This window comes from Homo sapiens, chromosome 7 (genome assembly GCF_000001405.40).
Source record: "Homo sapiens chromosome 7, GRCh38.p14 Primary Assembly".
Lineage (NCBI taxonomy): Eukaryota > Metazoa > Chordata > Mammalia > Primates > Hominidae > Homo > Homo sapiens.
In genome coordinates this window covers 6,634,265-6,658,805 of record NC_000007.14, presented here as the reverse complement: position 1 = coordinate 6,658,805, position 24,541 = coordinate 6,634,265, and the positions used below count along the sequence as shown (strand labels likewise).

Genomic DNA, 24,541 nt, shown 5'->3' with positions numbered 1-24,541 from the left:
AAACCACGGCTTTCACACTGCAGATCCTGACTCATCGTGAAGTGAGATTGGCTTAAAAAAAATGAAATAGATTTAAAGAGGTGGAATTTAAAAATGCAGTAAAGGTTTAAGTGTTGGTGCACTAAGTGTGTGTATGCACGTATGCACACTCAAGTTCAATGACGGAAAATGGGTTTCTCACTGTGGATCATGAGCCAGAAGTGTTCAAAATCACTGAGTTAGAGAATTCGCTTTTGTTTTTGAGACAGCATCTCACTCTGTTGCCCCAGCTGGAGTGCAGTGGTGGGATCTTGGCTCGCTGCAGCCTCAGCCTTCCAAGCAGCTGGGACCACAGGTGCATGCCACCACACTCAGCTAATTTTTAAAATTTTTTTGTAGCGATTTCACCATGTTGCCCAGGCTGGTCTCGAACTCCAGGGCTCAAGGGATCCACCCGCCTCAGCCTCCCATAGTGCCGGGATTACAGGCGTGAACTACCGTGCCTGGTCCTAGCATGTATTTTTATAATCAGGAAAAAAAAAAGAGCAAAGATCATAAAGCTTTATTTAATAGATATAACCCAGTAATTCAAAATACTTTATTCCATATGTAGCCAATTAGAGAAAGAAAAAAGGGAGATAGAAGGAAATGTTGGACGAGATTAAGTGAAAAGATCAGGATAAAAGGAATGAATCAGAAAAGGAAGGAGGTTGGGGAAACCGGCAAAAGAGAAAGGAAATAACAAAGGTAGATGGAGGGGAAAGTGACGCTCAGGGCTGAGGGACCCTCTAAGTGCCACCTTTCGTGACTCACATTTCACAAGTCACTAGGGTTTAATTCCTCCTTGGCAATAAAGGGTGTCTACTTTTTTTCCTATGACCATTGGATGGGGGAGGGTATTTTTCTCCCTATAAACTTTTTTTTTAAGTATTTGGCTGGACAGTCAACTATAAGTTCTATCGGGGAACCTTTTTTTTTTTTTTTTTTTTTTTTTTGGTGAGATAGGGTCTTGTTCTGTCACCCAGGCTGGAGTGCAATGGAAAAATCATAGTTCACTGCAGCCTCTGCCTCCCAGGCTCAGCCTCCAGAGTAGCTGGGACTATAGACGTGCGCCACCACACCCAGCTAATTTTTGTATTTTTTATAGAGACAAGAGTTTTGCCGTGTTGTCCCAGCTGGCCTCGAACTCCTGAGCTCAAGGAATCCATCTGAGCTCAAGGGATCCGCCTTGGCCTCCCATAGTGCTGGGATTACAGGCATGAGCCATCGCACCCAGCCTCATTTAACTTTTCTGAATAGACTGTAAGATCCTCAAGGGGCTCCATTTTTTAACTAGGTCTTTGTATTTGTCTGCCACTCAAACGTCTGTTTCAGACATGGAGTCTTGATACGTTGCCCAGGTTGGCCTTGAATTTCTGGTCTCAGGCGATCCTCCCACCTCAGCCTCCCAAGTAGATGGGACTACAGATGCATACCACTATGCCCGGCTTTTTTTTTTTTTTTTTTTTTTTTTTTGAAATATTAGGTTGCTCTGGCCGGGCGCGGTGACTCACACCTGCAATCCCAGCACTTTGGAAGGCCAAGACAGGCAGATCACAAGATCAGGAGCTCAAGACCAGCCTGGCCAATATGCTGAAATCCCATCTCTACTAAAAATACAAAAAAACTCGCTGGGCATGGTGGCACATGCCTGTAATCCCAGCTACTCGGCAGTCTGAGGCAGGAGAATCGCTTGAACCTGGGAGGCAGAGGTTGCAGTGAGCCGAGATCACGCCCTGCACTCCAGCCTGGGCAAGAAAAGAAGCATTAGATTGCTCTGTTCTGATGCCTCCAGATCACATTTGATTACAGCAGTTCTTATTTTTCAGACCCACAAAGAAAGGACAGGAGAGTCAGATCTGATCGTGGGCTACCATGTGATAAGAATAAAGAAATCAACCAATCAGCTTTAAGGGAGGCATTTTGGGTCCTGGGGCTGTACACCTTGCCCTGGTACTGGAGTAGGTGAGCCCTGGATGAGCCACATGGTGCTGGGGCCTCTGAAGAAAGGGCTGGGGATGTGTTTGGACCACCACGAAGGGTACCTGGCCCCTCACTCTGGCCTCTGGAAGCCTGGCCAACATATTCACAAAAAGTAATGCCCCAAGTCAGGTGTTTACACTACATCAAGTGTGGGGCAGCGTGGGGGCCACCAAGGAATACGGTGGGCATGGGCAGCACGGGGCCACACTGGCCTGGGGCCAACTCCTCATGGGCCATCCTAGGACCCATTCTAATTTCTTAAAAGAGAAAATCTTTTAAAAAATGTTTGCAGAAACAAGTTGGACCTGAGGCCGCGCAGAGCCTCCCCGACGGGTTCCCAGGAGTGGCGACAGCATGGAGTCCAGTCAGAAGTTCAGTTTGTCCACTCTTTATTAAAGCCAGGCCCTCCTGCTGACAGCTGCAGGACAGCTGCTGGGGCCCAGGAGGGACGGAGACAGCAGATCCTGGCCATACAGGGCTAGAGCTGAGATTCCCAGAGCCCCCCAAGCCCACCTTGCCCTTGGCCCTTTCTGAGGCTCCTGTCCCGCAGGGAGAGGAGAAACCCAGGGCCGAGGTCATTACCCAGCACCCCAATGCCTCCCTGGGACCCCTGCTCTCCTCACCACCCCGCCCCGCAACCTCACCAACCTCACCCAGCCAGGCTAACTGACCGCCACCACCCAGGCCCTCTTCCCACCCACCAACTACCGTGCCTCCTACCCGCCCCCAGCCCTGGCAGCCTGGCTGCTGCGCTCAGCCCCCAAGGCCATGTCTACACTAACGTGGAGGGAACTAGGTCTATTAGGGAATGCAGCTGCACCAAAAATCCGTTTCCTGGCCCCATTCACAGTGGCCCCAAAAGCGTGAGGGGAATGGGGCTTCACATGAACTACACCCCAGCTGCCCGCCCAGTGGCTTCCATGGGCCCAGTCCAGAGGGTAGGATGCCCACCAGGCAGGGGCCTTGCATAGTTGGGTGCCTGGTTTGTCACTGAGCCACGGCTCAGGTCCACACCCCCCCGAGGTGGACAGCCACTGTGCAAGCTGCCAGGCCACGGGTGCCTCCACTAACCAATTTGTGAAATGGGACTCTAAACAGAAACACTACTTGTTCTAGTGTAATGACAGAAGCAGAGTTAAAGGGACCTGCGAGTGTCCTAGGGCCCTGATTATGGGATGTGGGGAAAGATCCTTCGACCAACCTCAGTCGCTCTAAGTGAGCGCTGGGCTCCGAGAACGGGGCGTCTGCCTGCTCCCGGAGAGGGGCAGCCCAGGGAAGTGAAAGCTGGGGCTCAGGGCTGCGAGGGCCTCGGGCGCCCGTAGATGTCTGAGTTTGCCACCTCCGGCTGAGGGAGACGAAAGTACCAAGGACTGAGAGGACAAGCAGAGACCAAAACCGAACCGGTGCGGAGGGTGCCGGGGTGACCTCGGTGCAAGTGTGGGTAGAGAAGAGGAGGCGGCTCGAGAATAAGGCTTCAAACTCCCTCAGGACCCTGTCAACACCCGCGACCCGTCTGCCTGGCCGTAAGTTTGGTATCTGGCTTTTTCTCCTCCTAGATTCTTCAGGCCATACAAGAAGTGGAAATAAATATCCGCAGACGACAAGTTTCAAGTTTTCCCACTGGAGCTCCGCCCTTTGGAAACCTACAAGGCCTCCCCTCGCCGCGCGCAGTTAAACCTTCGGGACAGACTCGGATGACCGGGAGGGCCCAAGTCTCTCACTGAGGAATGGGAAGAAGTGGTCAGCCAAACCCACCGGCCTCCCAGGCATCCCGCTGGCCCACCTGGGTGGCCGGGCCCCTCCCTCGCCGCCACACCCGGTTGCAAACACACAAATCCCTTGCTCCCCAGACCACCCAAGTCGGAATCCGAGTGAAATAAATAGCATCGCCCGCCAACTACCGCCCTGCTTCACAGCCCGGGCCCACCCAGGGGATATCGCAGTCTCCGTGGGGGTGACGTCCTGGCCTCGCTGCCTCCGCGCTGCTCTTCTCCCCAGAGCTCCCCCACGTCTCCGGCTGAGCACACGGACCCGGCGGGCATGAGACCCGGGGCCGCAGGGCGAGGGCTGAGGGAAGGCACCGCACCCAGGACTGGGACCCTCAGCCTCCCGGGGCCCGAGGAGCGGGGGGCCGGCCGTCCAAGGGAGGGGCCGGTGGCCCTGCAGGCTGCGCTGCTGTCGGCCCCGGGCCCCTCACAGGACGCCCTCCCGGTAGGCGCCCGAGGGCCCGGCGAACGCGGCCTGGTGCTCGGAGCCGAAGCTTGTGCCGCCCGCGAACTCCAGCAGGGCGCTGCCGCGCTCACCGGGGCCGGCACTGGACGGCCCCTTGGCGGCCGCCTCGGGCTTGGGCGCGGGGGCTGGGGCCGAACCCGAGCCCGGCGCTGCGGTGGCTCCGCGGTGCGTCTTCATGTGGGTGAGCAAGTGCGAGCTCTGCGAGAAGCGGCGGCCGCAGTTGGCGCAGGCGTAGGGCCGCTCGCCCGTATGTGTGCGCTGGTGCGTGACCAGCACCGAGCGCTGCGAAAAGCGCTTGCCGCACTCAGGGCACGGGAAGGGGCGTTCGCCCGTGTGGCCGCGCCGGTGCTTGGCCAGGTTGGAGCGCTGCGCGAAGCCGCGGCCGCAGTCGGCGCAGCGGAAGGGCTTCTCGCCCGTGTGCGTGCGCCGATGCCGCTTGAAGTCCGAGCTGTGGCCGAAGCCCTTGCCGCAGTCGGGGCAGCGGTGCGGCTTCTCCTCGGCGTGCGCCCACTGATGCCGCGTCAGCGCCGCGCTCTGCCCGAAGCGCCGGCCGCACTCTCCACACGCGTAAGGCCGCTCCCCGGTGTGCGCGCGCCCGTGCGCCGTCAAGTGCGCGCGACGGCTGAACCCCGCACCGCACACGCCGCACACGAACGGCTTCTCGCCCGTGTGGCCGCGCACGTGCGCCGCCAAGTGCGAGCCGCGGGCGAACCGCGCGCCGCACTCGGGGCACGGGAAGGGCCGCTCGCCGGTGTGTGTGCGCCGGTGGCGCGCCAGGTGCGAGCCGTACACGAAGCTCTTGCCGCAGTCGGCGCAGCGATGCGGCCGCTCGCCCGCGTGGTAGCGCTGGTGCTTGGCCAGCGCGGCCCGGCGCCCAAACGTCTTGCCGCAGTCCGAGCAGATCCACGGGCTCTCCTCCTCCGCCAGCGCGGCCGGCGCGGGCTCCGCCAGCAGACCCCCGATGGCGGGCCCGAACGCGCGCAGGCCGCCTCCGCCGCCCGCGGCCCCGCCGCCGCCGAAAGGGTCGCACGCCAGCCCGGTACCCTCCACCAGGGAGAGCGGGCCCCCCAGGGGCGCCGGGAGCGGGCGCCCGTCGACCGGCAGCCGCTCTCGGAAGTCGGGTAGGCCCAGGATCGGGAAGCTGTCCGGGTGCAGCCAGGACTTGGGGTGCACGGGGAAGTGGAAGCCCAGCGGGTGGGAGGAGGGGCCTTCGCCCTCCCCCAGGCCGTTGCCCAGCTCCAGGAAGCGCCGTTCCGGCGCGGGGTCCACCTTGCCGCTGGGGGTGGGCGCCGCCACCGCCGCCTCCTCTCTCTCCTCGGCCGCGGCCTCCGCCTCTCCGTCCGCCTCGCCAACTTCAGATCCCTCTGGCCCAGGGTCCGTGTCCTCGGGCCCCGCGGCGGCCGCCGTCTCGCCGGGCTCCCGCCGGGGGCCGTCACCACCCGCCTCCGCGCAGCCCCCGCCGCGTCGGTGGCGCTGGAAGTCGGCGCGCAGGCGGAAGGCCTGGCCGCAGTCGGGACAGCAGTGCGGGCGGTCGGCCGTGTGCACCGCCTGGTGCCGTGCCAGCGCCGAGCTCTGGCTGAAGCTGCGGCCGCAGTGCGAACACGGGTAGGGTCGCTCGCCGGTGTGCGTGCGCTGGTGCGTGACCAGGTAGGAGCGGCGCCCGAAGCCCGCGCCGCAGAAGGCGCAGCGGTAGGGCCGCTCGCCAGTATGGATGCGTCGGTGCGTAACCAGGTGCGACTTGTAGACGAAGCGCTTGCCGCAGTCCGGGCACGGGAAGGGCTTCTCGCCGGTGTGCGTGCGCTGGTGGATGGCCAAGTGCGAGCGGTACACGAAGCCCTTGCCGCACTCCTCGCAGCCGAAGGGCTTGACGGCCGCGTGGTAGCGCTGGTGCTTGGCCAGCCGCGAGCGGTGCGGGAAGACCTTGCCGCACACGTCGCACGTGGTCTCCGGCCTCCCGGCCGGCGGGGCCACTGCGGCGGGGAACGCCCAGGGCGACAGCAGGTTCGCACCCGGCTCCCGGCCGGGCAGGAAAGGCTTCGCTTCAGAGCCGTCGGCCAGGACCCCCAGGCCGCCTGGGTCGGGTCCCCACCCCTCTGGAGTCTGCGCCGAATCCGAGTCGTCGGGCCCCCACGTCCCAGGCACGTCCCCCACGCCGTAGGCCGCCGACCAGAGCCCTGGGGGCTCGTTCTCCTCCTCGGCCACCTCCGCCAGGAAGTCCTCGTCGTCTTCCTCCTCGTGGTCCTCTATGTCGTCCGTCCAGAACCAGGCTCCTGAAGGTGACAAAGGCAGGCCAGAAGAGAGAGGTAAGTGAACTTGACAGGAGCCTCTGGCAGGTTCCTGTCCCGAGAAATCAGGGCTTCCGAGACGCCACCAGCAGGACCTTCCTTCAGTCGGACGGGGCACCTCCTTTCACCAAGTGAGCGGTTGCCCATGTCCCACTGCCAGTCCTGAACAGCCGCAAGGCAGGAAAGCCGCCGCCCCCAGCTAGGAACCTGGGGACACGCAGCACCTGAAACTGTCCCTCCCAGGAAAGCCAGGGCTCCCGTCCAACATCTCTTCCAGACCGCCGGCTCCCTCCAGGGCTTGCCACCTGCTGAGGAACGGGGCAAACTCTAGGAAGGGGTGCGACCGAAGGTTAAACCCAAGCAGGGATCCTGTGCTGAGAAAACCAGGTGGAGACGCTGGGGCAGTTTTCCCCAAAGCTCCTGGAGAACTCCGCCTCCCTGGCCTTCCTGGAAGACAGCGCAGCCGGCGGCCCTGTCCACAGAAGACCTGCCTTTGTCAGCTCTAAGCTTTTTGTTTTTGTTTTGAGACAAGAGTCTCACTCTGTCACCCAGGCTGGAGTGCAGTGGCTCGATCTTGGCTCACTGCAACCTCCACCTCGTGGGTTCAAGCAATTCTCCCACCTCAGCCTCCCAAGTAGCTGCGATTATGGGCTCAGGCCACCACGCCCGGCTTTTTTTTTTAAAAGCTCACTGCAACCTCCACCTCCCAGGTTCAAGCAATTCTTCTGCCTCAGACTCCCTAGTAGCTGGGATTACAGGCGCACAGCACCGCAGCTGGCTAATTTTTGTATTTTTAGTAGAGATGGAGTTTCGCCATGTTGGCCAGGCTGGTCTCGAACTCCTGACCTCAGGTGATCTGCCCACCTCGGCCTCCCAAAGTGCTGGGATTACAGGCGTGACCCACCGCGCCCAGCCTTTTTTTATTTTGTTTTGTTTTTTGAGACGGAATTGAGCTCGTTGCCCAGGCTGGAGTGCAATGGCCGAATCTCGGCCCACCGCAACCTCCACCTCCCGGGTTGAGCAATTCTCCTGCCTCAGTCTCCCGAGTAACTGGAGTTACAGGCGTGCGCCCAGATGATGATGATGATGATGATGATTTTAGTAGAGATGGGGTTTCTCAGTGTTGGTCAGGCTAGTCTCAAACTCCTGACCTCAGGTGGTCTACCCACCTTGGCCTCCCAAAGTGCTGGGATTACAGGGGTGAGCCACCGTGCCCGGCCTGTCAGCTCTAAGCTTTGCTCAGCTTCCCCCATTCTGCCCCTCTCACACCAAGCTGCACCCCTGCCCTCTCCCTTCAGCCTTGCGAGGCACCTGTGCAGGCAATGAACAACATGTAGATGGAGCTGGCTCGGTGGGGCTCCTGTTGATGGCTCAAACACCTAAGACATCGTGACGCACCCAGGAGGGAACTGGTGTCTATGGAGCAGGCACTAAGTCACGGGACACAGGGATGACACCTGGCCTGCAGCCCCAGATGCTCTAAGGCACCTTCATGGACCCTCCTGGTGTCTGCCCGACAGTCTCAGCATCTGGAAGGTTCCAGCTCCCACAGCTGGTGTGGAAATCTCCTCCTCACCCCACCTGGGTCCCCTGCCCATTTCAGCCGTCACCTAGCTGGATAAGCCTGGACCACTGAGTGCTGCCCTAGAGGGAAAGTCGGAGCCCAGGAGGTCCCAGTAGGCCTCGGGTAGCCCCTCATGTCGCACGCTGGCCCCTGCCAGGCTGCATGCCCTTGGCACTGCCTCGTCCCACATACATTCCATATGGGGACCTAGAGCCGCAGGAAAACACAGACCCACACAGGCCCGGCTTCACTGTGAAAAAACAGGCATCATAGAAAAGGGTCAGAAAACGGGTTACTGCATCTTTCACATTTCATGATACTTTATCGGTTTACTATCATAGTAAACGTAAGCTTGAAATAAAAAGGTTTCTTGTCACTAAGTTGAGTCTACCTCGAACTGCCACCCACAGCCACTCCGTGCACAGAGCAGCAAAGAAAAGCCCCGTCCCCATCAGTGGCCACCCTTCCCCGACTGGCAGCCACACTCCCCAGGTCTGGGAAGGCTGCTGCACCCCAGCCCTATACCCCAACCCTACAGGATAGGGAGGCTGGCAGAGAGCTCGAAAGGATCTCACCCTGAGGCTCTGATGCAGGTCTTGGGTTTAGAGACCCCTCCAAACGGGGAAGGTTCAAGCCTAGGAACAACTATGATTTTGTAGCGGGGTGCATCGGTACCTCAGGAAACAGCCAAGACTCAGCGAGCATTTACTGGATAATAAGCCTCAAAGAACTGGACTCCCAGGCCAAGGGCGGCCTTGCCCACAGAAGTCTCAGCTGCCCAGAGCTGGGAGGCTCCTCCCATCACCTCTCCCTTGATCCTGATCGCAGCAGGGAATCCTCTCACTTGGGGAGGTAGGCAGGGAGCCCCCATCCCAGTGGGATCTGTAGAGAGGGCACCCCCCGCCAGCTCTGGAGCTGGCATGGCCACTTGTCCAACAACTGGGACAAGGGTGGGCCACACTCCAGCATATGGCATGGTGACAGGCCACCATTGACACCGAGTGCAGGAGGGGAAGGACATCCAAGTCCCTGGGGAGTCTGAGCGGGCTGCACTCTAAGGGGAGCTCCCAGGAAGTAGCAGGGCCCCTGGGAAGGGTCCCAGAGGGAGACCAGCCTGCCCCAGGCCAGGCTCTGTCGAAGTCCACGGGAACATCCTTGAGTGAGGGTGTTCAGCCAACAGGGCTCCAGGGACAAGGCCCCGAGGGCGTTTGCTGGCTCTCAGATCCAAAGCCGTTTTCCAGATCTAAGTCAGGCCTCATCACAGCTCAACTCATCAGACCCAAGCCGGGGCAACAGGAGGCTGACTAGGAGGGGCTGGTGCATGTTTCTCAACAGCTGGAGGGCACTGGGGCAGGAACCATGCGACAGCAGCCCAGGGTACCCAACACACCTGCTTCCTCCAGAACCCAGGGGACAGCAGAGGAGAGGAGACCCTGGGACTGACGGTCCCTCTCCCCTGCACCTCACGTTTAGGCCTAAGGACTCTGACCTAGCAACATGCAGCTAGGCTTCCGGAAGAGGGACCACAAGGGCTCAGTGATAAAAAGGAGAGGCCGATCAGAGGCTCAAAGTCAGCTCTGTCTAGGGAGGGAGAAGCTTCCAGAGTATGGCCACAAGAACCTTCACGGCCCATGTCCTGAACTGGGAACACTAAGACCCCCCCCATCCAGCGGCAGGTGACAGGAGCTGATGGAGAGGGAGACCACCCCAGCAGGCTGGGTGCAAGGGAATGAATGAAAGGCTCAGGGCTGGGGCTGGGGCTGTCACAGGAACGATCCCCCCACCTCCCTCCACAGGCATCAGCACCAGGCACAGCTGCTCCCTAGCATGAGTGGCGTCTTTAGAGGCTTCCCCTTTGAACCTTAATGCTGAGATGTCCCTCAAGGCTCACTACTCCCCTGTGCCCGCAGCAACCCTCCTGCAGGCTGAAGCCCCACATCTGCTCAGTTCCGCCAGGACGGCAGGGGCCAGGCCGGGATGCTACACCTTCTCTCCCTTGGCTTCACCTCAAAAGGCAGCTGGGGGGCCCGGGCTCTGTCTGGGTGTGAATTCCACTCCTATGACGCACTGGCCATAGGACCTTGGGCAAGGCCTTAAATCTGAGTTTTCCCATCTGTAAAATGGGTTGATAACAGCACCTGCAATCCACTTGGTGGGACTGCTGCCAGGATGAAATGCACATCCGTAAACACCTGCGATGCGGCTGCAGAAGCACCTCCACTGCTCCCCGGGTCAGGTGGCGCTGCTGCCACCACAGTTCCCTGCAGATGCCAAGGCCCCCTGCTGTCCATCCCATGCTTTCTGTTGGTCACCGCTCAAGTTGTCCCCCAAATGTCAGGCGATGCTCCTTTCCTGCCATCAGGTCCTGGTGGCCACAGATCCCCACCAAGGCCTTTCCTCTTGAGGCTGGGCCACAGTCCCTAATCCTAGATAGGCCCCTGGCCAGCCCTGTGCCCCGGGGGCAGGCTGCCTCCTGGACTGGACAGGAGGGGCGGGGCACCCTCCAGCCCACACTAGTGCCCTCCTGCTCACCAGTGGCTGGTGCAGTGCCAAGGCCCTCAGGCCCTGGAGGCACAAAGGTCCCTACACCTGGGAGGGTGCTCGTCGGCATCACCAAAGCCGGGCATTTACCCAGAATCCCACCAACACAACTGCAGGCTCTCCAGCTTCTGTCCCCAGGCCCTGGTTTAACTGTGTGGGAGGCAGTGGTGATCCCAGGGGCCAACCAATGTCCCCAGCAGCACAGCCCCCAGAACAGTCTGGTAAGTGCCCTGCCCTGGGCACAGCGTGGGGGCCCTATGTAGGACACTAATCACAGCGGCTGTGGGGAAGACAGTGGCCCCACAGCCACATGCCTGACCCAGAAGACACGGTCCCAACCTGCCACGGGACCCCACACACATCTCACATCACTGAGGGATGCTGCTCGGTGTAGCCCACACACACCACCCATGGCACCAGGCCGCCACCATCTACGACTCCCACTCCTGGGCAACCTCTGCCCATCTCGGAGTCTGGAACCTGCTCTCCAGGCCCAACCTGACCTGGGCCCCACGGCGAGTCCACGGAGTTGGCTGACTGAACAGCGCCACTTCTCTCCCTCTGACAACCCATCCACTGGGGCCTGGCCTGGAGCGCAGGCTGTGGAAGTCAGTTCCGAGTGAAGCCAACACCTGCTCCCTCCCCTCACCCGGCCAGTGCAACTTTCTCCATTCAGACACAAACTCCAGATGGCCTTAGGGAGATCTTCTCTCACGGGGGACAGTCGCAAAGGAGGTGGAGGACAAGGGTGACACGCCCAAGTCCATAGGCATTAGCAGCACTCTCTTCTGCAAACTGTCAGGGGGATGAGGGTGGCACTGGCCCCACACATTGGTGCTTGGGGGAGGCGGGGCTCTCGGGCGCAGCTTCTGCACTGGCATCTGAACCAGCTGCATGGCCTTGGCCAGGCTGCCAGGTCTGTAAGGAGGGGCCTCTCTGAGGACAGGCACTGGGCCTGCCCCTCACTGGGGCAGGTGACCTCAGAAGGGCCAGTCTGCAGTGGCTGAGGGGGTCCATCTCGGAGGGTGGAAAGACAGTCCCACAAGTACAGGGCTGGCCCGCCAGGCCAATGCCACTGGCAGGCACCCACAGCCACAATTTTCTCCAGGCACATTCTTGCTCTAGTGCAGACCAGAGCCGGCAGAAAACAGGGTTCAACCAGGGCGGGGATCTAAGCCAGGTAAGGAGAAAGGCAGGGCAGGGGAGGGTCTGAAGCATGGCTGAAGGGCAGGTGGGGGCTTCAGCAGCCCTCAGGAGGGGTGGGTCCTGATCAGGGCAGTGCCAGAGCCCAGATGTCATGTGTGGCCCAACTCATCAAGGAGCCCAAGAGAGGGACATACTTGGCTCTTGCAAGACTCCAGTCTAGAAACAAACTCTGTCAGCCTGGGCACAGGCAGCCTCTGTCCTGCCCCAGCGATCTCAACCAGCTCAGCCGACCAGAAATGAATGCAGGGGAGGCAGGGAGCACTGGGGGAGGCGGGGAGCATCAGGGGAGGGTAGCCACTCAGTACACAGGCTATGGATCACATTTCAGAGACTGACTTTACACACCCACTCAGGGCCGGGGGGCATCCCAGGCCTGCCAGCCCCAACACGACGACCATCCGCAGGGGATGCAGGAGGCACTGGCCCAGCCAGCCCCTCAGGTAGCTCTCAAACCCCAGCCAGGTGCACAGGCCACAAGGGTACTGTTGCCCGGGCTGAAAGGGAACCACTCAGGCTCAAGCCTGCACAAGGCTCTACCCCTAACCCTCCAGGAGGCACAGAGAACAGGAGCACAAGTAGACCACACGCTGAGGGACGGGCCCCGCAGGTCTGTGTCCCCTTCTCTTCCTGAGAGCGTCATCCACATCCCAGACTCATCCTGGGGGCAGCAGTGATCTTTCTTGCCAACCAGAGCCCTCCTGACTGAAACCTGGGGAATATTCCAAGAGGGTCCCCAAGTATCTGGAGAATGGCGGCACGAAGGGCCTCCTACAATGACACAGAGGAGGGACTGGCAGGCCTCAATGATAGTTCAGCTCTGTGTCCCCACCCAAACCTTATCTCCAATTGTAATCCGCACGTGTCGTGTCAAGGGAGGGACCTGGTGGGAGGTGATCAGATCATGGGGGCCGTTTCCCCCCATGCTGTTCTCATGATAGTGAGGGAGTTCTCACGAGATCTGATTTTTTTTTTTTTTTTTTTTTGAGATGGCGTCTCACTCTGTCACCCAGGCTGCAATGCAGTGGCGCAGTCTTGGCCCACTGCAACCTCCACCTCCCGGGTTCAAGTGATTCTTCTGCCTCAGCCTCCCAAGTAGCTGGGACTACAGGCGCGCACCACCACACCCAGCTAATTTTTGTATTTTTAGTAGAGATGGGGTTTCACCATATTGCCTAGACTGGTCTTGAACTCCTGACCTCGTGATCTGTCCACCTTGGCCTCCCAAAGTGCTGGGATTACAGGCATGAGACACCGCACCTAGCCTATTTTTTTTTTATTTCTTTTTTAATTTTTGAGACAGAGGCCCACTTTGTCACCCAGGCCGGAGTGCAGTGGTACAACCTCGGCTCACTACAACCTCTGCCTCCCGGGTTCAAGCCATTCTCCTGCCACAGCCTCCCGAGTAGCTGGGACTACAGGCACACGCCACCACACCCAGCTAATTTTTGTATTTTTAGTAGTGATGGGGTTTTGCCATGTTGGTCGGGCTGGTCTCAAACTCCTGACCTCGAGTGATCTGTCCACCTCAGCCTCCCAAAGTGCTGGGATTATAGGCATGAGCCACCGCACCCAGCTTGTATTTTCATTTGAAAACACATCTATGAGGTGCTCCAAATCTACCCATTGCCCCTCCTAACCGGCATCACCTAGCCCCAAACCAGACACCTGTGGGGCAGGGGCCTCTGCAGAGCTCTCTGACGCTAGGAGCCCCTCAGACACCACTAAGGACCTCCACGCAACTGACAATGTGGCGTCCCCCAGTGGGAACCTGAGTTGAGTTCAATTTCTTCAGATGAATAAAGGGGGCCTTAGAGTTGAAGGAGCAGAGCCAGAGCTGGGCCTGAGGCTTTCAGGGAAATTCACCACCCTGAACGCCTTCTGCACCCATCACTCCAAAACCTCCTCTCCAGAATGCCCCAACCTGCCCATCCCGGTCAGAGTCCTGCCCATGGTGCTCCAGGGAGAGCAAGGGAGCTGGGGGGAGCCTTTTCCCAGACATGGCCAAGTGGGCGGAGAAGCAGGAGGAACGGCTAGCACTGTGCCATCAGAAAGGCCTCCGCGATGGCGTGCTGGGCTCCTGGGTCTGCCCTGGCTCAGCCGACCACCTGACAGCTGGCCCCTCACATGCAAAGAAATTCACAGGCTCCAACGCAGGGCAGGGTATCATTTTTAAAGGTTCCTAGGAGGAGCCTCTAGGTTCTCTAAGGACCTTACAGCCCTCGGACCTTTCTGGAACTTGAACCACCAGGAGCCAGGCGGCAAAGGCAGAGGCGCAGTCAGAGGCACCAGGTACCAGGTCTGCAGAGAGCGCAGTGAAGGCCAAAGTTTGACAACAGCTCTGAGAAGCTATCGGCACAAACCGCAAAATTCCATCCACGCTCACCTGTGTAGACGCCAGTGACGATGTCTCCTTCCTCAGGTCGGGGACTATCTGGGACCCAAGGTTCTTCCCCTTGTTCCAGCCGGAAGATCAGATCGGGCTTGGGAATTGGGTATCCTGCCAGGAGAACAGACGGCGGCTGCAGGCGGCTCCCGTGGGCCCTCCCCTGCCCTGCAGCCCGTGCTGTGCCACCGCTCAGTGCCCCTCCACCTCCATCTTCCCAGCACCAGCCCTCCCACACCCCTGCTCTGGAGGGTCCAGGCGGTCCCTTCCCTCTGAACCTTTCCCTGTCCTCCCCTGCCCTCCTCCCACCAAGCCCCCCCAACACCTTCACCTGCAAGATGCCCACAACCCTCCTCCTCCCTCGCCTTCCGCCTCACCCCTGGAGGCTTCAGGGGCCATGCAGCAGACACCAGAGACAGACAGCCTCCACAGATGTGTCACCTGGCTCAGGGTGCTGCCTGGCCAGTGACATCCCCCGCCCCACCCAGGGGCCATGGGGTCCTAGGGCTTCCCTGGGAGGTGGGCTGGGCCCAGCATCCACCTTTGGAAAGACCCTGGGATTTGAAAAGCGCCCCGTCAGACAGCTAAGACCCTGGCAGCCATCACACCAGGCTGCCTCTTGGGGACAAAAGGTCCCGTCCTTACCCAAGGACACGAGAATCCCATAGTTCTCCTGCATGACTTCCTGGTAGAGGCCCCGCTGGTCTGCTTCCAGCCTTTCCCACTCCTCCAGGGAGAAGTACACAGCCACATCTTCAAACGTCACCAGCTCCTGGGGAAACAGAGCCTCAGGTGAGAGGCTGAGGGAGCCCTTTACAAAGAGCCACGGAAGATTGAGGCCACTGAGGCTCTCCAGCATGGGTGTCAGGGGACACAGATGCCCAGATGGCACTGAGGGCTTTCAGGCCTTGCCACAGCCCTGGAAAGCAAGGACCAGATCCCAGCCAGAGAATGGGGACTCAAGCTCAAAGACGGTGAACGACCCAGCTCGTAGGGCAGAGCTGTGGCTCAAGCAGAGGCCAGGAGACAGGGAGCCCCGCCCCCAGTCCCCCTCTTCATGCAGTCTGGCTCAAGCCAGTGCAATGGCCATGTCAGCCATGGAGGGCCCACACCCGAGTGGACAAGCAGCAGCAACTAAACCGAGCGTGGGCACTGGTGCCTGACCTGACTGGGCAGCAGGAACCCAGACCCTGGACATGTGACAGGCACTCCAGGTGAGGGGAGGGCCAGCCTTGGGGGAGAGCCAGGCCTCTGAAGTCGCTGTGCACAGTGCGGTTGAGTGGGTGGCAGCCAAAGCAATCAGGACAACCCAACGCCCAGGAAAGCAGGACCACACCCCCGGGCTTGGGGCTGGACACCCAGCCGCTTCCTGTGGCCACTCCCAGCTCAGGGCCTGGGCCTGGTCCGGGGACTCCAGTGCCATGGCCGCTGCCAACAGACGCCTCCAAACAGCAGGTGCCGAGGCCCCGGGGGAAACCCTGCCCAGGTTACCCAAGCCCCAAACGGAGAGGGCGGCTCACCTGACACCCAGCCGTCAGCAAATCATCCTCGTCCTCATCCTCCTCCTCCTCTTCCTCCTCCTCCAGGTCCTCATCCCTAGGAGTGGCTGGAGCCCGGGAGGCCTGCAGGCCTGTGGGGAGAGATCTCTTAGGGCCAGCTGCCCTGAGCCCCCAGCCTGCAGGGCCAGGAGCCCTGGCAACACCCTCATTGCAAAGCTGGGTTTCAGCTCCACCCTGTCGGCCCAAGAGCCCTCCTGGCTTGACCAGGTCCCTGGCCTGGCCCACCTCAGCCCCCTTCATCTCCTCCCCAAGGCTGGCTGCTTTTCTTACCCTTTTCCTGAAGAACTGGGGACTTGGCATCACCACCACGGCTAAGTCGCTCCTGGGTCCCCAACGCCGGACACTCCTCCTCTGCCAGCACCTCCTTCACATCCTCCTCCTCCACGTCCGCCTCCACCTCCACCTCGGCCACCGCCTCCACCTGCGCATCCTGCACTACCTCTGCCACACCCTCCTCCTCCTCCTCCACCACTATCTCCTCCTCCTCTTCTTCCACCTCCTGCACCTCTTCCCCCTTTTCCTCCTCCTCCTCCTCTTCTTCCTGGTCAGGGTCGCACTCTGACCCGTCCTCTGCCCGCTCCAGCTGGGCAGCTGGGGAGTCGGGAGTCGTGTGGAGCGCCGCCATCCTCCCTGGGAGCGAGCCTCCACGTGGCCTGAAATGCAGATGGACGCCAGTGACGGGCTGCTCTCAGCACACCACACGGTCCCCTCACAGGGTCTCCCGCAGCCTGGCGGGGGCGCAGGGAGCAGGATTTACTCCTCCTGTTATGTAGTTGAAGGCAATGGAGATGAGGGAGGACCGGGCCTTCCCACGATCTTACCCTGCACCATCAAGACATTCTGTACCCAGAAAGGCTGCCCCAATGGCCCCTCCGCGTGACCCCTGGGATGCCAGTCTCAGCTCCTTTTCACCAAGAACTACGTGCCTGGTGTGAACTGCTGCTCTTTCCTGGAGTAAATCAGGCATTTATCCCAGTCTTTATCCACAAGGAAGCATCACACAGCCCGAGGGTGGCCCATGTTTAGCCAGAAGGAAAAGCCCACCTGATACACAGGACAAAGAGACGCTTACCTGGTCCTCAACACACATGAACCAGGCCAGCAGGGAACGCCAAGAGGTCTCAGCACAGACAGGATGCAGGCACTTGCAAGGCACAACGGGGCTAGGAGGAGAGACAGGTGCCAGGAAGCCGGCAGGTCAGGCTTCTTCCTGCAGGACATGGGAGAGTGGGGGCTGTGAGCCAGCATCACCCTCATGTGCCCTCAGCCCTCGCTCTGTGAAAAGCGCAGTGCATGGTGGACACACGGCTCATCGCCAGACCATCAGGAGGACAGGAAATGCCTGTGACATTTCAAGTTTGGGGATCAGAGACTCTTGAGGGCTGACTTACCAAAGCCCTAGAGGCTACAGCGTCCTACTCTCTCACTGACATCAGTAACAGCTCAGCCCAGAAGCTCAGGGGAGAGGCAGCCACACTGACACAGGGTCCAGGGTCCAGGGCCATGGACACAGCAGGATGGGAGCTGCTGGCCCTGGGACCCCTCGCCCCTCCCCACTGCGTGTCCTTCACTAGCCCCTGTGGGGTCCCAAGGGCACGGCAGAGTCATAGCGTTGATGAGTCCATTTCTGTGGCTCCTTTCTGGGTATAAACCTGAGACCGGGCCCATTACCCAGGACACACACCATCAGTGTCTCTGGCCTGAACAGGGCCATTTCCAAAGCAAGCCAAGCCCAGAATCCAGGGGGAGAGGCCATGAGCCCCAGAAGCATCCTGGAATGTCAGGCCACTTGGCCACACAGAGCACTGGGCCCACCCTAGCTCATCCAGCTCGAGCAGTGGACAGTGTCTGCCACAGAACTCCTAAAACAAGACTGAGTGGCCTTCACGAGAACAGTCCAGACCACCACGCCTGGTGTTCTTACGGACACAGGAGAAAGCTGCTCCGTGATTAGCTCTCCCTCCATAACCCATCACTTCTCTATCAATTAGCGCAGCTGTGTTAGGCCATTTCTGCATTTCTGTGAAGGAATACCTGAGGCTGAGTAAGTGGCAAAGAAAAAAGGTTTCATTCACTCACAGTTCAACAGGCTGCACCAACATGGCGCCGGCATCTGTTTCTGGGGAGGGCCTCAGGAAGCTTCCACTCGTGGAGGGAGGCAAAGGGGCAGCAAGAGAGAGGGAGGAAGCCCCACTCTTTTAAAACAACCAGATCTCTTGTGAACTGAGAACTCCCTTATCACCAAGGGGACGGTGCTAGACCATTCATGAGGGATCCGCCTCCATGGGCCAATCCCCTCCCACCAGGCCCACCTCCAACACTGGAAATCACCTCCCAGCAGGCCCGCCTCCAGCACTGGAAATCATGCTTCAGCGTGAGACTGGAAGGGGACTGATGGAGCCTGGATGTTTGTCCCCGCCCAGATCTCACGCTGAACCGTAATCCCCAATGCTGGAGGCGGGGCCTGGTGGGAGGTGACTGGATCATGGGGGTGGGTCCCTCCTGAATCTTGGGCCATCCCCTTGGAGACAGTGAGTAATGAGTTCACAGGACATCTGGTCGTCTTTAAAAGTGTGTGGCGCCTCCCCACTCACTCTCTCTTGCTTGTTCCTGTTTTCGCCATGTGACATACCTACTCCCCCTCACCGTCCACCATGATTAAAGGCTTCCTGAGGCTCCCTAGAAGCCAGGCAGATGCCAGCACCATGCTTCCTGTACAGCCTGCAGAACCATGCGCCAGTCTCACCTCTTCTTTATAAATGACCCAGTCTCAGGTATTTCTTTACAGCAATGCGAGAACAGCCTGACACCTGGACAAACACCCAAACCATAGCAGCCGCGCGTACTCATTTCCTGAACTGCTTTGAGCAGTTGCTTTAAAATCCACACTTTAATAGCCAGGAAGCTCTGAGCATTCACACAGGCTCACCCAAGTCAAAGGCTGGGACACACAGGCATCCAGAAGCCACCTCTGTCCCGAAGGTCACACGTGCCCCCTGACTGGCTCCAGCCCCCTTTCTAGTTTCAGAATCACTAACCCCCAAAGACTCAAGTCACAGAACTACGCCTGGGAGCGCCACCCCAACCTCCAGCCTCTCCCAGAAGCCAACCTTCTCAGTGTCCACAGCTCTTTGGCGTGTGAAGATGCCCAAAGTGTCGAAATCCACGTGCTGCGTGTTATGCTAGCCACCTCCAGGAGGACACGGCCCTGCCCAGCACTCAGGGCGCTGGGTACACGCAGCAACGGTTTCCCAACTGCCACCCACTTGAGGCCCAGAGGAGGGCTTTTCTCTTTCAAGCCTCAGGCCGCAGATTCAGGCTGGGCCTAGGTGCCATGCCAAGCTCAGTAGAGCTGTCTCCTGCCTGGCCACCACCTGAAGCAGCAACTTTAAACTCCCAGAGCCAGGCCGCCATATATGAGGACACAACAGAAGAACACTTCACAGCTTTGGAATAAAGTGGCTGCATGTTCATCTCATCTCAGGCCGTGTGTGTGTTATTCCCCATCCCCAGAACTCTCTTCCCCTTTTCCTGGGTGGTCTTCTGAGGCAGCCCCCTGGGCCCCAGTGGGTGACACAGTTCCCTGTAATTCTTCCCTCACAGCACTCACCACATCTTAAAAATACACTTATGAGACTGTCTTATCATCTCTCTCCCTGAGTACAGCCAGCTCCTGGGCGGCAGAAGCTCCCTTTGCTCATGTCTGAATACCCCTCACACCAGCACTTAAGAAGCATTCAAATACTTACTAAAAGAATGTCTAAAGTCGCCAGCCAATGTGATGGACACAGGATTTTTCAAACTCAGCATTTTGGCCCTACTGTCCTGTTCCAGAACAGACTGACCACTGCTGGGGGTAGGGGGTTGGGGGGACCCTTGGAATTGGAACTCACCCCAGAAGCAGTGGAGAGTCTCTGCCTCCAAAGACGACACTGAGTTCTTTCTCCCAAGAAGTCCACCCACGGATGACCAGAGAAGGTGGAGGACCAGCTCCTACAGAGGTCAGAAGCACAGCCAGACATCGTCCCCAACCCAAGATTCAGAACATAATGGTTTGAAAAACGGACCTCAGCAGTCCGGGCAGAGTTTAGATTCCAGCAACTCCCCCTGGGTTATCTCTGCCTCCCCCAGGCCTGCACTCTTGCCCTCTTCTTGCCAGCCTGCCAGTCCACTGTAAACACTGCTCACTTCTCCCTCGGCATCCAACTCTGGGTCAGAGGCCACAGGGGGTCTCATCAGCATCAATCCCAAACCAGAGGCCACAGGGAGCTTCACCAACGTCATCCCAAACCCTCATTTCTCAAACTCCCCACCTCAGGTGATCCACCCGCCTCGACCTCACAAAGTGCTGGGATTACAGGCGTGAGCCACCTCACCCGGCCCCAAACCCTCATTTCTACTAGGGCCCTGCACTCTAGGATACGGTGCTGCAGCCAACATTTAGAATGGGAGGTGACAAGGTATCTCCCAAGAGGAGAAGGGAGCGAGGCAAGGGCAGGAAGAAGAGGCAAAGCTTGAAAGTTGATAGAAACTCCTCACAAAAGCTCCAAAGCCAGGGAAACCCAACTCAGAGAGCGGGAGATGTGGGGGTGTGCTTGTGTCTAGCCCCCTTCATTCCCTCTGGGTGGCCCCCGCTGCCCTCAGAGCCCTTCGGGTCTTCATGCCCTCCTGAAGGACTTCCTTCCCCGACCACCACAGTCCTCACTGTCTGTCCTCGGATTCTGGATCCCCCTACTTTCCTGGGTTTGCTCCTGGTGCAGGTTATTTCCACGGGGGCCATCTCAGGTTCCCCAGGGTAGCCCCCTCACCACCCCACCCGGCCCCCAGACCTGCCCACACTTGTTGAACCAAACCAAGCACCGAGGTCTCCCCACACAAGCAGAGCTGGGGGCCTGATCCTCCTGGTACCTGCACTTCCTCTTGCCCATCGGGTCCTCGACCAAAGCCCAGCCCCTTTCCTACCTCTGCTGCCACGCGGGACAGCCCAGACCCCATCCAATCCCAGGGATGGGTGTCCCTACCTACCTGCCGGCAGCAGAAGACAGCCGAGCAGCCCACCGGGGCTCCTTCTGCAGATGAGGGAAAGCCCGGATAAGGCCCCCAAGGTCACAAAGCGGGCTCCTGGGGCGACGGGCCGAGCGCCTCCCGCCCCCCAGGGGGCGTCCGGAGCCGCCTCCTCCTGCAGAGACCTAGACGATGACAGCCCCTCCTGGATGGGTGTGTCCTGGGGGCGGCCGCGGCCCAGCCCCTGCCGCTGCGGCCGAGAAGGCGTGGGCGGGCACCCCGAGGTGTCACGCGTGGCCTCCCGGGCCTGCCCCCTCCGCCTCCTGCCCGGACCGGCCCCGGGGGTCGGCAACGCGCAGGCCCGGACGGGGGTCCGGGAGGCGGGGGCGCTGCCGCGGAAGTCCCTACCCGCGTTCCGCTCCGACTCTGCAGGCCCCGGCCCCGCCGCCTCCCCGCGGCCTCCCCGCGCCGGGCGTCGAGGGCCAGCCCGGCCCCGCCGCCGCCGCCGCCCCCGAGCGCAAGCCCGGCCCGCCCGCACCTGCCGCCCGCGCCGCCGCCCACCGGCCCCGCGAGACCCACTCACCGCGCGGGCCGGGCTGGCCGAGCCACGGGCCGGACACCGGGGCCGGGGCCTGCGGGCCGGCGGCGGACCCCGCGCTACACAAAGTGACGGCCCGGGAGCTGCGCGACGGCGGCGCGTGGGCACCGGAAGTACCGCCGGCCGGCCCCGCCCCGCCCGCGCCCGCGGGGGGAGGAACTTCCGGTCACGCGGGGGCAGCGGCGCGGAGCGGGGAAGCGCGGGTTGCGGGGGTTTGCCCAGCTGGGCCTCGGGCCGGGGCGAGGACGGGGCATGCGGGGAGGGGACGGGAGCGCCCTCGACACTCGTGGGGCGCCCACAACCTCGCCCCGCTCCTGGACACCCTGGCCAGGTCTCGGAGGTGACCCCGAGGTCCCGCCGCTGCGACCACCGCCTTCCCCGAACCCCAGCCCGGCCTCGTTCATCGGGGCGCCCGCTGAGGACCAGGCCCCGCGCTGGGCCCCCTCCGCCAGTCCACGGAGCCTGCCCGGGACCCCAGGATGGTGGAGGGAGGAGGCGACCCCTGTGGTGGGGAGGGGGCCAGGTGTCCACGCCTCCACCAGATCCCCGGGCCCGCGCGGGGTGAACGTCTTGTGGGTGGGGAGGGAGGAGGGACGGGCGGGGTGAACGTCTTATGGGTGGACTGTGGCGGTTGAGTGCAGGAGGAGACTGGGGTTGTGGAGCCCGCACTTGGAGGGACATGGGGTCACGGGCAGGGAAGCGATGTCCAGGCAGAGGGCATGGCCAGTGTGGGGGCAGAAGTGACAGGCGACCCCAGGAACCCAGGGAGGGGTCGGTGAGCTCAGCGGCCACCCCCAGACCCCCACCCACAAGCCTGTCTGCACCTGCTCCCAAGAGGTGCAGCTGGGGTGTCAGGATGAGCTCTGGCATTGGTGGAGTCCAGGGTCTGTCTTCCGCCTGGAATGGTGTGGCCTGGGCCCCTTCCCCAGCTCCCAGCCCGCCTGCACCACTGTTCTTGGTGCTTTTCTGTGGGGACCCCAGGCCTGACTGGGCAAGAGATAGAGGAGGACTCGGCCAGGCACGGTGTCTGTAATCCTAGCACTTTGGGAGGTCTTGGCGGGCGGATCACGAGGTCAGGAGTTCGAGACTAGCTTGGCTAACATGGTGGGTGAAACCCCATCTCTACTAAAAATACAAAAATTAGCCGGCCGTGGTAGCGCACCCCTGTAGTCCCAGCTGCTTGGGAGGCTGAGGCAGGAGAATCGTTTGAAGCCGGGAGGCAGAGGGTGCAGTGAGCCGAGATCACACCACTGCACGCCAGCCTGGGCGACAAGGTGAGACTCTGTCTCAAAATAATAATAAGATAGAGGAGGACTCAAACCTTAGTCCCACAGAGGGGTGCAGCCCCAACCCCTTGAATCAGACCCTCACAGTGATGTCGCTTGGCTCTTGGTGTCTTAAAATGTCTTAAAGTTAATAACATTTTAAAATAAGGAGTCCCATTCTTGTTTAAAAAATAAAATTGAAAAATCAGGTTCTAATGCGGGGTCTCACACCTATAAATTAAGCACTCTGGGGGGCCGAGGCGGGTCACACCTGTAATCCCAGCACTTTGGGAAAACAAGGTGGGAGGATTGCTTGAGCCCAGGAGGTTGAGGCTGCAGTGAGCTATGATAGCACCACTCCACTCCAGCCTGGGCAACAGATTGAAACCCTGTCTCTAATAATAAATAAAATCTGAAAAATCAGAAGTTCTGGCAACACAAGGCCCCTGGTTTGCAGGGCACCAGCCAGTAGGGCCTGAGAAGTAACCAGCTTCTGTGGGTGGGACTGAGCGTGGCCATGGTCCTCAGTGCCCACCACTCCCTGTCCCTTTCCTCCAGGCCCACATCTGAATGACACTGCCTGACTCTCCTGTGGGTATCTTTTAGAACCCCTAATCCCTAGATTAGACCCTTCCCCACCCTACCTGATCCGTCAGGTTCAGTAGGAAGGTGCAATTGCCCCCAGGCACTCCCAGGAAGGGCTCTGACTGTAGGACAATTAACAATTGACCAAAAGCAGTGTCACCAGGTGATGTGGTTTGGCTGTGTCCCCACTGAAATCTCGTCTTGAATTGTAGTTCTCATGATCCCCACATGTTGTGGAAGGGACCCGGTGGGAGGTAATTAAATCATGGGGGCAGTTCGCCTCATGCTGTTCTCATGTTAGTGAGTTCTCATGAGATCTGATGGTTTTGTAAGGGGCTTTTCCCCTTTGCTCCACACTTCTCCTTCCTGCCATCATGTGAAGAAGGAAGTGTTTGCTTCCCCTTCCACCATGATTGTAAATTTCCTGAGGCCTCCCCAGTCATGCGGAACTGTGAGTCAGTTTTTGGTGGTGGTGGTGGTTGGTGGTGGTTGGTGGTGGTGGTGGTGGTTTGTTTTGTTTTTGTTTTTTTCTTGAGATGGAGTCTCGCACTCTGTTGCCCAAGCTGGAGTGCAGTGGCACAATCTCTGCTCACTGCAACGTCAACCTCCCAGGTTCAAGTGATTCTCCTGCCTCAGCCTCCCAAGTAGCTGGGATTACAGGTGTGCACTACCACGCCTGGCTAATTTTTGTATTTTTAGTTGAGATGGGGTTTCACCGTGTTGGTCAGGCTGGTCTCGAACTCCTGACCTCGTGATCCGCCCGCCTCGGCCTCCCAAAGTGCTGGGATTACAGGCAAGAGCCACTGTGAGTTAAACCTCTTTCCTTTTATAAGTTTCCCGGTCTTGGGCAGTTCTTTACAGCAGCATGAAAATGGACTAATACACCAGGTAAAGGGAAGCAGCTGGAATGTGAAGGCACCAGGCCTTTGCCACCCTTAGCCCTGCAGGAGCAGGAAAGGGCAGGATGTTGTCAAGCCTGGAGGGAGGTGGAGATATAAAGATGGGGACACTGTGGGCACTGTGATTATAGAGGGACAGTGTGGCAAGGAGAGAGTACCCCAACCCTGCCCTCCTGCACCCTGTCACTTCCCAGTGCTGCCCGTTGCCCAAAACCACCTGTAATGTGGACAGCAAGGGACCCCAGAAGAGGAGTGTGTATAATAGAGTCAGCAGCTCCATCCCGGCCTTAGATCCCTCCACCCTGTCAGGCAGGGACCCCGAATCACCCCAGCATCTCCTCAGATCTCCTCTTGGCCTGTCCTCACCTGATACCTAATCCAAGACTCAATTTCTTCCTCTCCCTCGTCCACAGATAATT

The 24,541-nt window shown here is 59.7% G+C and overlaps 1 protein-coding gene across 3 annotated transcripts, besides 4 other annotated features; it reads right to left on the bottom strand.

Moving 5' to 3' along the window:
- Positions 1-526: 526 nt before the first annotated feature.
- On the bottom strand, positions 527-21,488 carry ZNF316 (zinc finger protein 316). 3 transcript variants are annotated; one of them, NM_001278559.2, is made up of 9 exons: positions 21,359-21,488; positions 20,797-20,960; positions 19,665-19,764; positions 16,844-16,981; positions 16,042-16,424; positions 15,733-15,842; positions 14,858-14,984; positions 14,213-14,326; positions 527-6,503 (listed from the first exon to the last, which is right to left on the bottom strand). In NM_001278559.2, the coding sequence occupies exons 5-9, from the start codon at positions 16,394-16,396 to the stop codon at positions 4,195-4,197; spliced, it is 3,015 nt and encodes a 1,004-aa protein (NP_001265488.1). In that variant the 5' UTR covers positions 16,397-16,424; positions 16,844-16,981; positions 19,665-19,764; positions 20,797-20,960; positions 21,359-21,488; the 3' UTR covers positions 527-4,194. The 3 variants fall into 3 exon arrangements, with proteins under 3 accessions (NP_001265488.1, XP_024302386.1, XP_024302387.1); XM_024446618.2 differs by having other exon boundaries at positions 16,042-16,934; XM_024446619.2 differs by lacking the exons at positions 20,797-20,960; positions 21,359-21,488 and having other exon boundaries at positions 16,844-16,934.
- Positions 18,094-18,388: an enhancer, noted in NCBI's record as "tiled region #15225; K562 Activating DNase unmatched - State 5:Enh". NCBI's record gives its function as "activates a minimal TATA promoter and a strong SV40 promoter by Sharpr-MPRA in K562 cells {active_cell/tissue: K562}" and the evidence as "EXISTENCE:reporter gene assay evidence [ECO:0000049][PMID:27701403]".
- Positions 20,609-20,658: an enhancer, noted in NCBI's record as "active region_25632". NCBI's record gives its function as "activates an Ori minimal core promoter by ATAC-STARR-seq in GM12878 lymphoblastoid cells {active_cell/tissue: GM12878}" and the evidence as "EXISTENCE:reporter gene assay evidence [ECO:0000049][PMID:35858748]".
- Positions 20,719-21,148: a silencer, noted in NCBI's record as "silent region_17956". NCBI's record gives its function as "represses an Ori minimal core promoter by ATAC-STARR-seq in GM12878 lymphoblastoid cells {active_cell/tissue: GM12878}" and the evidence as "EXISTENCE:reporter gene assay evidence [ECO:0000049][PMID:35858748]".
- Positions 21,389-21,808: a silencer, noted in NCBI's record as "silent region_17955". NCBI's record gives its function as "represses an Ori minimal core promoter by ATAC-STARR-seq in GM12878 lymphoblastoid cells {active_cell/tissue: GM12878}" and the evidence as "EXISTENCE:reporter gene assay evidence [ECO:0000049][PMID:35858748]".